This window comes from Homo sapiens, chromosome 15 (assembly GCF_000001405.40).
Source record: "Homo sapiens chromosome 15, GRCh38.p14 Primary Assembly".
Classification (NCBI taxonomy): domain Eukaryota; kingdom Metazoa; phylum Chordata; class Mammalia; order Primates; family Hominidae; genus Homo; species Homo sapiens.
Window position 1 is genome coordinate 80,455,591 of NC_000015.10, and position 14,252 is coordinate 80,469,842.

At 47.8% G+C, this 14,252-nt stretch overlaps 1 protein-coding gene across 1 annotated transcript in view; it reads left to right on the forward strand.

The window, feature by feature from the left end:
* Positions 1–14,252, forward strand: part of ARNT2 (aryl hydrocarbon receptor nuclear translocator 2) — a 193,552-nt gene that overhangs the window by 51,209 nt on the left and 128,091 nt on the right. The window contains exon 3 of the mRNA NM_014862.4: positions 2,339–2,386. Within this exon, the coding sequence (NP_055677.3) occupies positions 2,339–2,386 (48 nt within the window). The remainder of the gene's footprint in view (positions 1–2,338; positions 2,387–14,252) is intronic.

Sequence of the window (14,252 nt, forward strand, 5' to 3'; positions counted from 1 at the left end):
AGTGACCAACCATCCTGGTGTGTCCAGGACTTTTCCAGTTTTAGCACTGAAGTCCTAGATCCCAGGTATCTCCACTCCTATACTGAGAAAATCAGGATGGTTGGTCACCCTAAACACCCCGAAGATCATGAAGGCTGAGGACAGAGGGCTGGCTTATAAATTGCATTTTGCAGGAGTACTGACAATCACACTCATACCAACTTGAGCTAAAAGGAATTTTAAAGATAACTGTATGTCTCACACCCACTTGTGGTTTTGTTAAATGCTTGCATGAGTTCTTTGGAATGTTGAAACTGCTATTTCTTTTTCTTAACGCTGAAATGTTTTTGACAGCACGCACGGGGTGTTAAATAACCTTCATGTGGACGGCAAAATCGCTCTTCCCCATGGTGAACACTAGGTGGCAGCGTGGTTCTGCGGCTCTGCAGAACACCGGGTGAATTTGGTTACAGCATTTTTGGTGCTTACCTTCGCGATGTAATTTTCCGAGAAAGGTGGGGTGATGGCTTAGTAATTATGCAGAATATTGATAGCTTTGATTCGTTTAGAAAGTCTTGCATTCAGCTCCCACTTGTCCACAACATCGGCAACTCTAAAGCTGCTGCCCGGTGCCTGGTTTCCCAAACTACCTTGCAGAGGTGTGTGTCTGTCTCTCTTAGTGGTGTCTGTAAGGCCCTTTAACTGTACTTTTTTTTTTTCTTATCACTGTTCTACCCCATCTCCTCTTCTTTTTGTGCGTAGGTATTTCTGTTATCATTACTGTCATCTTTTCCAGTTATGTAACTCCTTTTGTTCTTATACTGTTAGTATAACCCTTGTGTCCGAGAACCAGAGATTCCAAATTAGCAGGGGATCCCGTCAGGTCATTCCAAACAAAATAAGGCCAAGATTAGGACTTTGGCTACGCAGTACATAAAACAAAACAAAAACAAAAGATACTAATTTTAAGAAGAAAATACTTCTTTGCCTTACCTAATTCCAGTCCCTAGGTCCCTCAGTTTGCACCTAAACCCCTAGAGACTAGGATTTGTCTTGTTGGGAGCTTCTTGGGTGTGCCCATGCAAGGATGGCTCGCCCTGTGTAATCTGCCATTTCCTGGTAACCTGGGTGTCCTGTGCCTTCTCCAAGTCACTCATTAGCCACTGAAGCCCTGCCCTTAGAGCCTGAGGGTATGGGTCACCCTTACTGGGAGGCCAGCAGCTCTAGAATCTGTAGCAGTGGTCATTTAATACACACTCCATTCTGATACTGAGCTGTTCAGGCAAGGAGTTTCTCAAGCCAGGCTGCCAGGCAGGCTGGCCTTCCTTCTCCTTGAATTCCATGGGAACTGTGCCTCATCCAGTCCACCAGGACTACAAAGAACAAGATGGGGAATGCAGGGACTCTGAGACATTCTCTCCAAGGAGCTCCACTCACGTGGATGTCCAGGAAAGCTCAGACATCTGTATCATTTTTCATTTTGTTTCCCCAAGGACTCTGGGTACACTTGACACCAATTAAGTACCCCCTCTGCCCTAACATGTTTAGGAATTGTGTGAATTACCATTACAGAGACATGATTTTTTGAGAAGAGTTTGAGGTATTAGTTCAACAAATATCTATCAAGTCTTTTTGTCTTATGTTTACACTGAGAGGCCCAGTAAAGGGTGAATCTGAATAACTACTTGGTGAGTTTCCACAAGCACAGCTGATTTGAGTAGCTTGAGCCCCAAACAGCCATTTTCCCCTCAACAGCCATGTTTGTGGTCCTGGATTTAATAGGGCAAAGTCTTAAATGTCCTTTTCACTTTGACTCATCAAGACCAGCCACATTTTTAAGCAGTACAACCGGTAGTATTTCTCTTTCCCTTGTGATCCCTTCACCCTGAAAACTTCTGTTTTCAAAATCCCGTGAGCCTTTTTAGGCTCTTAATATACCACAAGATAAACTAAGAAAAAAGTCTTAATGTGGAATAGGTGATGCAGAGGGGTGCAGGTATTCCCAAAGATGGTGAGAGAAAAGGAAGAGACACCTTTCCATCATAGCCAGAGCAATCCATTGTCTGCTAAGAGTTCTAAGAAGGGAATGGCATATAGAGTTCTGGAGGGGACTAGTTGATACTTAAATATTCCCAGCCATAGAATTAGTGGTGCTTAGACTGAAGACCTTTCATTTTGCCTCTTCTTGTCTTGAACCCGTTTGATGACTGTGTAGAGATATTGCTTGTAGCACTGCCAAAGGTTGGGATCAATGGATAGCAGTCCTAGTGAATAAAGCTCCTTTTGTTCCAGCAGCTCCTGTTACCAGTTAAAATGTTCTCCTAATAATCAGTGCTCACTTGTGATCTTGACTTTTCAGAATGGACTTCGATGATGAAGATGGTGAAGGCCCCAGTAAATTTTCAAGGTAAGTTTATTTTATTTTCCTTAGACTTAAAGAAGGCAATAGCCAGCATTCACCTTAGAAAGATACAAGAATGTAACGTCTTTTGTCATTGCAAAAGCCATTGCCTGCAGTTTGACTGGTCCCTCACTCTGTGGCAGTATTTGGCCCAGTGGCAGCTAGCTATTAGCGACCCTGCCACATCCCAGCAGAGATGATCAAAAGGTAAGTAATAAGTTATTAACTCTGTTTGCTTTATAAGAAATTAATGTCAATTTTAAGGATTCATTTTAAAAAGACAATAGGGCTTTTTAAAAAGTATTTTTAAAAATTCCTATGTCTTTTAAAAAGGAATCTATTAAAATTAATATTCATTGCTTATAAAGCAAACAGAGGAATTCATTCTTCCTGAAAAGCCCTAGAGTTCAAGTTTAGAAAAAACTGTCAAGATAAGTCTTTTATTGCTACCATGGAAAATAAGAAGAGATATGAGAAACCAGGCAGCTGTGTTCTGGATGCAGGATAGAAAACTGGGTTTTCAGCTCCTAAGAACTGTATTGCCCCCTGGCCACGTGACAGCATCTTTATCTGGGCTCTGCGGGGCCGTCCTGAGTGCAGACCACCTCATGGAAAGTTTGCTGGATCATGAATGTCCATGGGTTATACACATTGCATACGTGAAGGATAAGGCAGGCCCAACCCCATGACTGTGTCTTTTTTTTTTTTCCATTTTGTTTAAGATATGGTAGGAAGTTTGGCAGTGTTGACAGGAAGGCACAAATCATTCCATCATTCTTAGCAAAATTCACATCTGTACCCACTTACCTAAGGAAGGGCCTGCCTTGACATTCCTCTCCACTAGCCAAGCCTCCAAGCCTTCCTAATTCTTGGTCATTGATGGACTTGAAAACTTGCCATGGGTGACGGTTGCTTTTCTTCTGTATCCATGCTCCATAGTTTGGACTGATGGCCTCAGTTGTTTTTGGAGGAACCACATGCATATTGAGTTCTGGGCCCCCTGAGTTACCCTAGTTTTCTCCCCTCATGGTAGCCATTTTTGGTGATGATTCCTTTTACAAACTGCATTGCGATTGTGAGTTCCACACACTTTTCCACCAGTCCAACAGGGACATGCATCTCCTTACTTCCCAGGGATTCCCAGAGTCTCCAAGTCCATAGTAAACTCGCATCATGCCATACACTTTCGTCCCCAAAATCTTTTCCTTCCGTCTTTCAGCTTCTGCTTTGGTTGAAACAGTAGAGAGGAGATGGAGAACATTTTGGTCACTAATGACCTTGGAGTTTCGAATCAAAACAGGACATGAGTTTCAATAACAAAAGCATGTATTGTTTTCCCTCGGTGCAGACAGAATGGCAGCTTGGACATCCACCCATTTCTTGGGATACACTTTAATAGCAGGGTGTGCTTTCTTGCTGAAATGGAAACAAGGGCACATATCTCCCTGCCCCAGTTTGCTCTCGCTGTACACAGCCTCCCTCTATGAAGGAACAATGACTTTGGTTCCTCCGTGTCAAAATTCCCCTTGAGATAACATTCCATAGCATGCTAACCTTAGGAAATGATGATTCCTGGGGCCTCAAAACATAAAGAGGAAGAGAGATGAGGAGTGACGTTTGTTTGACATTGAAAAGATCAGTGTCAGTGATGAAATAATAGTGCAGGGGTACAAAGAGCTCATTGTATTAGGCCCGATCATTAAGAAACAGAAACTCTACACTCTGGGTAACTATCTCATGACCGTGTCTGTGAGTCCGTTTTTATACAGTCAAGGTTCAAACCCAGGCATCTGTGAACCATATCATTTCCCCCATGAAAAATAAGGAAGATAGGATGTGTTTCCAGCATATGCTGTTACTAATAGGAATGAGTTTGTAGGACCGCAGAGGCCCAGAGGTCACCTAGGCTTAGCTGCTGGGCCCTCAGTGAATGGGCCCATGGTTGCATCTGAGCTTCTCAGCACTGGGAGAGACGACTGAGTCCACCCTCATCCCTCCACTTTGCAGTGACTGTGGCTGCTGTCCAGGGGAGGAGTGGAGAATCTGCTTCCAATTGGCATGGAACACCCCAGTGCCTCTCCTGTTGGCTTTTTCTCTTCTTACAATCAGGCAACAGAAGCCCCTTCATGTGAGGCCCTGGAAGAGATAGAGGCTGCCTTGTGAGCCAGCACCCACCGTAGTTTGCTGACTCAGAATCTAGGCAGGGTGCTGTGCCATGGTTTCTGTCTCCTGTGTGTGTGCCATCAGCTTTTCCAGCTTTTTGCAAGGGGGCTTCCCAGTTTAAATGTCCTGCCTATCATGAGACCTCATGTCTCAATTTTTGATTTGGGAAGTGTGGTCACAGTCACAAAGCAGCTCAATTATAGGAATTTGATATGGTTCCTACTTTAGCACAGCCAGGCCCATCACAGCAGGCCTTAGATGCAACAAAGTAGTAGATGTGAAGCTGCCACTGCTGTGTGACCTCAGGTGCACACACAAGCACGCACATGCACACGCCCATACGTGCATAGGCATTCCAGGATCCCGCCTGCCAGTGCCATAAATGTTCTCAGGCCCGCTCCACCACATCCCAAGGCCTCAGCTCTTTCTCACACATGGGATTCATGCCATTCGGGGAGCTGTGATATGCAGAACATGGCTCTGCCTACATTCGAAGTTTCCTTCCCCCCACACAAAGTCACGGGGACCCGGGGGACAGAAGCCAGACTGCAGTGGGCTGAGGACTGATGGGGAGATGAAGACATGAAGATGCGTGAGAACAACTCTTTGAGCAGTTTGGATGTAGATCAAAAAGGAAGGGGCTCCGGGAGGGGTACTTTTTAAGGATGAGTACATCCATGTGAGGAGGAGAAGTAATGGGGATAGCCAGAGATTTGGAAGACTCAGGAGTGACGCTGGGGAGAGATGGGTCCAGAGGAGGAGGAGAGAGCTCTGCCCCACAGAAGGGAGTACTCATGCTCCAAGGCAGAAGGAAGGAGCTGCAGGTGAGGCCAAGTGCGAGGCTGTGGGTGCATCAGAAGTGGAGGGATTAATTCTCGTGGCTTCCATTGTCTTGATTAGGTAGGAAATGGGGCTGTGTGCCGCAGGTGGGAAGAGGTTTGCTATTGTGCCTGAGAGCGAAGTTTAGGGTGGCCCTGGGTTGAATTCACAGGAAGGAGGCTAACCGAAGACAGAGATGTAAAAACTTTAGACCCCATTTGAGATTGTGGACCACCAATGTGAGGTGGCATCAATGTGTATAAGTGCAATTTCCCTCCAGCAATACCCAACGGTGTGGATACAGGGAATGGAGGCTTTTCTCAGACTCAGGGTTGAGGATTAGGGCAGGTGCCATGGAAGGACAGGAGTCGAGGTGGTTAAGGTCTCAATGAGAGGGTGGTTGAAGAGGCCAAGCTGTGGGTCCAATGGCAGAGGGAGTGAAGGGAGGCCGGCAGGCCGGAGGAGTGAGAAGAGAATGGAGGAGGCCGGGGACGGGAAGTAGCAATGCGGTCAAAGAATAGTTCTGATTTTGTGGGAGTTTGAGAGGGCTGGAAAAGTAGGAAGTTGTGGTCAAATAGTGAGAAGCCACCACCATGGGAGAGGCTGGCCGAGGTCCAGTAGAGGAGGCCGAGGTCAGTCCTGGGAGCAGAGGCATGGGGAGACAGATGGGTGGGTGTGCATCACCCCCTGCAGAGGCTGTCTTGGGGGTGGTCTGGGGGCAGGGGCTGGCTGGCTGTGTGGGTGGGCAGTGGTGATGATGATGCAGAGCCTAGAAGGTGGCAGAGACGGATGGCACGAGTTTCAGAGGAGGAGGCCTTTCTGCCAAGGAGGCAAAAAGGAGTGAAGTCGCAGAGCCAGCCTTTCTTCCTGGGCTCAGCCAAGAAAGCAGCCTCCACTGGGAATGCTTGGCTTGACCTCACTCTTGGAATTCCAGTTATCAAGTCACTGATCCTAACAGCAGGTGGTGATAAACCCTGTGTCTTTGGAAAAATGCCGATTACACTCCAGCAAGTGTTTCTCCAAAGATGATCCTCCCGGGCAGCTGGTAGTGGTGCCGCACCCTCCTATAGTGAGGTCGGCACCAGTCCCTCCCTGGTTCCTGTGCCTGTGTGGATGGCCCTGGTGTGCCTGGGAGGCAGATGCCAGTCCTGCCCAGCACGTCCTGCAACCTCACACTCAAGCAGAGGGCCAAAGCCTTTTCATCACTCTGAGTGGTTCAGGGGCATCTTCCTACTTTAATGGACCCTTAGATTGATACATTTTCTAGGGAGTTCCAGGACACCTTCTCATACCGGCAGCTGGGGTCAGCTGCCACCAGTACATGGAGGCATCTTAAATATTGTTTCATAAGGGGCATTACTAACATCCCAGAGCTGTCATCAACAGAGTCAAAATTATACACCGTGCTCATCGTGTGCCTTACGTATGTGAATGTATGCGTAATGTGTCATTAAAACAAAAGAGAGGAAACATTCCTAATGTAACTGTCTTTTTGTTACATTTACAACTTGGGGACAAACAAGCATGCAGTCCTCAAACTTTAATTCTTGCCACTGTGTATTATCTGTATATTTTTGCTCCCTTCAGACTCATTCCACACCCTTTCTCAAAAGACCCTAAAGGCCTTCCAAGGAGTTCTCGTATCTGTTGCTGTGGATTCAGCTCCAGTGCTTGGAGCCTCCTAAGAGCTCGGACTCAAAATCCCTTATCAAGGGGCTTCCTGGCCTCTCTTTAACCTTTTTAGAAATGGCTGCAAGTGACCCCATTGGCTGCTCTTTGGTGAGATTGTAGCACCCAGTTGCACCAGTCCAACATTGTGCCTTATATTTTGTAGAGTTAGCCAGTGAACCTCTAAAGTTATCTAAAAGTAAAGATATTCACGGTAGGAAAGCTTCTGCAGAATTGACCTTTTGTTTCTCATCACGTCCATTTTGGTACTTCCCTTTTGGTTTTGTGTGGTATTTAAGCTTGTAGGCATTTTCCCCCCTGGCTTTATAGGTTGTGGTGATGTTTTAGTTTTAATCATTCCTGCTTTGTGAGTAGGTATCATGACCAAAACTCTGTTGATAAGGAAAATATGCAAGGTAGACGTGTCCTGCAGAGGTCTTTCCCGGCAGAAAGAAAAGAAGATTGTGGGTTTCCAGAATTCTTAGTCTGAGCGTCTTAGCCTAGAGAGTGGGTTACTCTGTTTCCAAGTGAGAAGACGCCTAAAGTATTTCCAAGGCAGAGAGGATGACCAGGCAGCAGCAAGGAGTGCCCCTTTTTTTATCTGGCCTCATCTTATCAGTTACCATGTGTGGGACACACTGGATGGGTACGTGAGGTCCTTGTAAGGCAGGAAGAGATTCAGCCGAGCCTTTCAGAGGTTGCAGAGCAAACGCCAAGAGGAGCCCTTCCAAACTTCCCATGCCTCCTCCCTGCCTCTACAGTCTCAGTTCATATGAACCAGACAAGTGTTGCAGATAAGCTGGGTAGAATTTGGTACAGTGTTGCTTATGAGCAACTAAAGTTGCTTCAGTGGGTTAGGGTTAGGGTTAGGGTTAGGGTTAGCACACACTGGAATGAAAGATTTTGTAGGAGGGGTGGCTTTCTAACACCATGCTGATATGGATGGGTGATTTCCTTTTTTTTTTTTTTTTTTTTGAGACGGAGTTTTGCTCTTGTTGCCCAAGCTGGAGTGCAATGGCGCGGTCTCGGTTCACTGCAATGTCTGCCTCCTGGGTTCAAGCAATTCTCCTGCCTCAGCCTCCGGAGTAGCTGGGATTACAGGTGTGCACCACCGCGCCCGGCTAATTTTTTGTATTTTTTGTAGAGACAGGGTTTCACCATGTTGGCCAGGCTGGCCAACCTCAGGTGATCCGCCTGCCTTGGCCTCCCAAAGTGCTGGGATTATAGGTGTGAGCCACTGTGCCCAGCCAGTGTGATTTCTTCATACAAGATGTTTGGCTCTCACATGATGGACCTGCACCTTGATGTGTTTCTTACCATGTTTAGCTATGCTACCCGCTTCAGTTTTTCTGCTGGAGAGATTAACCCTGATTTGAAATGATAGTGCCTGGATAACACTAGAGTTTTTTGGAGAGAGAGGAGGAAATCACTTCTGGGATCATAAGCAGTCCTGAGCTGTGTCTCTTTGGAAGCTGCTAGGCATATTCTTCCCCCATAAAGCCTTAAATATCTTTGCTCCCTAGTCTCTCCGGGCATTCTAGCTCTGAACTAGGACCAGTTAGTGCTCTGTTGGGGAGAGGTGGTGAGAGAGAGGCAGCAGGTGACTGGCAGGCCTGTTCCCAGTCCTGGTAAGTCAGTGTGACCCTTGGAGCCTCAGCTTCCTCCTCTGGGGAAAGGAGATACATCCCGATTGGGGGCTGGGGGTGGGGGGTTGCAAGGATCGATTGCAGTCAGTGCTGAGAGAGTGCTTGGGAAGCTGTAAGTTGCTATAGAAACATGCAAGATGTGTGTCTCACTGGGAACAGGGATTGTCAGAGGTGCCGGGCCTGGGTCCCTGCTTGGGAGGATCTGGGCTTCTCAGACTCCTCCCTGTGTTTTGGGTGAGTCTTGCATTCAGCCTGGACACACAGGTATCTTGTAGTTGCCTTGCAGAAACCTGGGCCTTGGATGGCTTCTGGGGAGCAGGATGCCTACCTCCTTCTCAAGGAGAGAGCAACCCTCTGCCCTTCCTGGAGCAGCCTCAGAAGCTGGGAAAACTGCCTTACTGAATATGCCTCAGTGGGCCCTCTCTGCAGGTATCTGACCAGCCTCCATGGGGCTCCTGAAATGGCTTTCTTCTGGCCTTCATGGCTCTTACAATGCCCTGCAGCATGCCTGGGAGCGACTGGCCATGAAGGATGTTCCTGGAAAGGTACAGTCTTCCTTCCCGAGTGTCACCGAGGTGGGGCAGAGCCAGTCTGTGCCTAATACTGCACCAGAGGCTCCTGACAGCTGACCAGGACTCATGTGTAGACCCCCACGCAGCCACTCTTGGTCTGATGACTCCCCCAGGCTACCTCTGAAGGCCAGGTGGTATGAGCCTATGCAAAGGGTCTCTTCCTACAGTTCTGACTCTACCCTAACTGGTCAAATCTCACAGAGAAATCCCTAGTAGGGGAAGACGGGGATTGATGCTTCCTTTGCTTGAGAAGTGCTGAAGCCCTTTACTGGAATTGCAGGCAGAAAGCCTTGTTTGTTCAGTAACTTGAGCCATGCACAGTTTGGTGAATTGTCCAAGAGCAGAGGTTATCACTGTGTGCTGGGTGAATTCTGAAAAGGAAAAAACTCCTGGTGTCTGGTCTTCCAGTTCTAGTGCAATCTGGGGAAATGAGCACAAATTCTGCCCTGAGTGAGGCCTGTTTCCAAGCCCGATGGCTTTGAGAGTGGCAGCTGCTTGGTGATGCTTCTCCAGGTTGGGGAGAAGCTTTATGTTTATTTTCAGCAGGTCTGTTGTTTGGACTGCTGTGGCCTGGAGAGGGGTGTGGACCTCAGGAGGTAGAAATGGAAGCTGAGGCATCATGGAGAAATGTGGTCCTGGTGCCATCTGCAGCAGGGCTGCTCTACAGACATTCCACGTGTGTAGAGCTTCATGTAGCTCTGAAGCTGGCAGTGAGGTGTAGTGACCAGTCGTATTATTTCAAGTGCTGACTTCTCAGATTTGGACCATGGCAGTGTAGGTGGCCTGGCTAGAGCTAGACTTGGTCATATCTCTCTCATAGTATCCTGCATCAGCCCACCTGCTGCCTTGAGGTGCCCACACCTGATCACCCTGACATGAGCAAAGAGGAGGCTGCAGAAGCACTTAGGTTTATGTCGTGGCTCCTCTCAGCCAGGCCTGCGTGGGGACTTTCAGTGTCCCATGTCCTAGGGTTCCTGGGTATTTCCTGGGACTTTTTCACAGGGAGCTCTCCCCATCGCACACTCTCAGCATCCTCTTCTGACCTTTTAGTGTACAAGGAAACCACACAGGGATTGTGTTTGCACCTGCTCACTCTCTGTTGCCCCTGCTTTTCCGTGGGCTCTCTGTCCTGTCCAGCACCCGTCTCCAGTACCCAGCACAGTAACTCCCAGACTGGAAGTATGCTCCAGGTATACCATGTCTGCAGTGATCAGGGAGTTCCCAGCATGGGGCTGTCTCATTCAGTCTGCTTGCTCCGGGTCTAAGGTTCCCTTCCCATAGCAGACAGGAGACTCAACGGCTGTCAGCAGTTTAAGGATGCTCTTTATTGAGATCTTATAAAATTCTCCTTTCGTATTCTTTAACTAAGATGGGTACCTCACCGTTCAGATTAAACTTAGGAGGTCCCCATCAGGAACAGAGTTGGAAAAGAAACACAAGTCAGTGTGCAGTTAGTTGAACCTCTTCTTTCTGTGCCTTGATTTCCATAGCTGTGCTCCTGGAGCCAAGCTCTGGGTCCTCTTAGCACAGCAGAGGTGTCTTTGAAACTGACAGCTCTACCTGTGTCCCCAACTGTCAATTCTGTGGAGTCCTGGTCCTGCTTCCCTGTACATAGGAGTTAATTTCTTTATTGATGCTACTCAGCCCCGAGCAAGCATGTGGTACACACGCAAGTCACAGACACCAGGTTCACAGGCTCACTCCTGCAGCTCCTCCAGGCAGACCCCAAATTGTCTCCTCACTCTGGGGAAGAGATGGCCTTGCCCCAGCAAACATGATCTTGGAGATATGTCCTTCTGTGTTCCCAAGATGGCATCATCCCCGCTGCCTTGATGAAGGCTTCAGAATGAAACCGTACATACATATGTGTATGTCACTCACTTATCAAATCTTGTTGCTAAGTAATTGGCAGCTGTCAGTCATTTTGACATTCTGCTGGTAACTCAGTATTATTTCATAAAATATAAAGTACTTGGAGCATTTTCTGGACTAGGCAATAAATACAATCAGTTTTTAAGCAGTTGCCCTAAGGCCATCTTCTTCATACACCTTATCTCACAGATTGGGTTCACAGAGCACTGTGGTGAAATTGCTTTAGATCTCTGTTTAAGATTCCCCATATGAAGATTTTTCACCTGCAGAATATTTATAAAGCAAGATGGTCTGTGCCACTATGGGACAAGCTCTTTGGATAATAGTATCAGAAGCAAGTGTGCGTCAGCCCTGCATTGAAGCAGTGGTCACAGTGACCAGCTGAGGGGTTTGGAGGCTCAATGGAAGGGGTTTAAGCGAAGGCTCTGGTTTGTATTTTGAGAAACATCAGTCTGGCCACAACATGAGGACTAAACTGGAGGGTGAGACTGGAGAAAAAGGCTGGGAAAAGGTGGTTGGTGACAAGGGGAAAAGTGATGACAGCAGGCAGTCGGCATGGACTGGAGAAGGTGGGAGAGAACCAGGAAACAGCTGCAAGAGCTTTGACACAGATGGAATTTTGAGGGACGGGAGCAGTTCCACGTGTGCTGAATCGAAGATAAGTAGGAATGGCTATTGCCTGGTGATACTGATGGGTGGGGAGCAGCTGACACGTGGTTGGAGTAGGGAAGAGGGCTGTGGGTGGTGCCTAATGAGCGAGATCCCAGAAGTCAGGCTGAAGAGCTGGAATGCAGACTCTAGGTGGTGTGGGTGCATGGGAGGAAAGCCGGTTCTCCAGGGTGTCTGGCGGGCAAGTGCGGGGCGGTGGCGTGCAGCCCTGGACCTAACTCATGCGTGTACTGCCCATGATCTTACAACGCCCATCAGCGGCCAGGGTGCCTGCCCAGCATCTTGCAAGGTCAGCAGCCTCAGCCAACGGTCTCTGTGTTCCGTCCACCCCATCGGGCCTTGATGAAGTGTAGGCTGGCGAGGCGGGGGCTCACCCTCCTCTGAGAGCTCCTCTAGGCCTTTCTTGCTGCACCTTGGTTGTCTCGTGACAAGCTCCTGGCTGAGGAGTCAAATGCAGGAGACGTTGGTGAAGACCCAGTTCAGGGTGGGCTGCCACCACTAATTTACCTAATTTATGGAGAGAAGGAAAAGGAAGTCCTGTATCTCCTCCAGGGAAGGGTTCCTGAATGCACTAAATAACTCAACAATCTCTAACCAAATCCCCCTTTTTCATCACTTTCTTTCATTATGATTGCCCCGCCCCAACCCATTCTTCTCTGGTTACCTCTATCTACCCCCGAGTCAACAAGCCCTGCCTGATTACGCAGCAGCAGTTTCTCCTGGAGAGTATATGCCCTTCCCTACCAGAGTGGCTGTGCTCTGTGGACCAACGGCATTTGTGCCGTGGCTGGTGTTTCCACCATTCCAGTGGGTTGGCTGCAGAGTTATCCTTTGTGGGTGGGAGAGAGCACCAGGCCTCAGGAATCTCCCTGCTGGTCCCAGCCTCCATCTCCTCCTCCCCAACCCTGAACCTCTCCCGCAACCTGCACCTCCCCCGAGAAGCCAGCCACAGAGGCAGAGAGCATCACGGCTCTTATCAGCCTGCCATGCACGACAGCTTTCCCTTTACTGTCCAGCAAGGTTTCCCAGCTTCTCTTGCTCCTCGGCCCCTCTACTCCAGGGCCCATCTCTACCCTTCCGTCTAGGCCTGCCTCCTCACCACCCTCAAATGTTTCTTCCCAATTCCAGGCCTTTATTTGATCCTGCTGATCCCCTCCCCAAAATAGACCTCCTCTACTTGCTGACAGGTTAGGCCCAGCTCTCTCCCAGTTCCTCCTCCCTACCCCTTCTAGCACCCTCAGCCCCAGGACCACCTCCTCCTCTTCGCTATATCGTTCTCCATTGTGGTTTTTGCTTTTCACCTGCCTTTTGAAGCATTTAATCATACTCTGCGTTTCATTTCCACTATGCAAGGTGTATGTTTTATATTCATAGTTAACCCCCCACTGCTTGAGGACAGAGTTGGGCATTCCTTGTTTTCTCTACCACTCCTCCCCTCATGGGGTCTGGAAGGTTCATGGTGGATGGCTCAGGTCGCTCTGCAGTGACCTGTACTGCAGTCTCACTTCCCCTCGGTCTGTGTGTTCAGAGACCCTCAGCACGTGCTACTTGGTGTCATCAGGGCTGACTGGCACGTCTGTTCCCCAATCTGGGAGGATGGGCTGTTAAGCTAATTAATACATGCAGTGTCTGGAGGCAGCCCTGCCTGAGTTGTTTTTTTCTTGCCCTTAGTGTCACTCTCATTTTTTGAACACCAGTGAAACCCTAAATCCTGCAGCAGACATGGGATTTATTTTTAGATAATTCTTTTATCCCAAGTAACAGCTTTGTCTTAGAGTCGTTGAACTGAGTTGGCTGTGACTCCTTCAAGCCTGAAGGTAAAAAGCCTGGGTTGGAAACATTCTACCATCCCTTCTGCTAGTTTTTTATCATAACACATCACAGAGATTGCATTCAGTAATTCCTTTGCCATGCGTTTTTATTTTAAATTGGCTATTTATTGTTTCATAAGCCAGGGGTGTACCTGTTTTGTTACTATGCTGCAGAAAATCTGTTGGGCATAGAACAAAGGCTTATTCACAACTTTAAAGTAAATTTGTAGCATTATTGGTCTACTTAGTGACACAAAGAATGGTAAGACTATATAGTGCTTCTTACTGCAAGATATAATATGTAAATATTATTTATAATATATTACATACTTATATTTATATATTACATATTTATATGTAATAAATATGTAAAGATACAACATGTAAACCACATATTGAGGCAGACAGTAACCACATTTGTGTGTGTGTGCACGTGTGTATATCCATGTACAGATTCATGTGTGCACAGGTTGGAGTGCAGTGGTGCGATCTCAGCTTACTGCAATCTCCATCTCCCAGGTTCAAGCAATTCTTGTGCTTCAGCCTCCCAAGTAGCTGGGATTACAGGCATGCGCTACCATGCCCAGCTAATTTTTGTATTTTTAGTAGAGATGGGGTTTTACCATGTTGGTCAGGCTGGTCTCAAACTTCT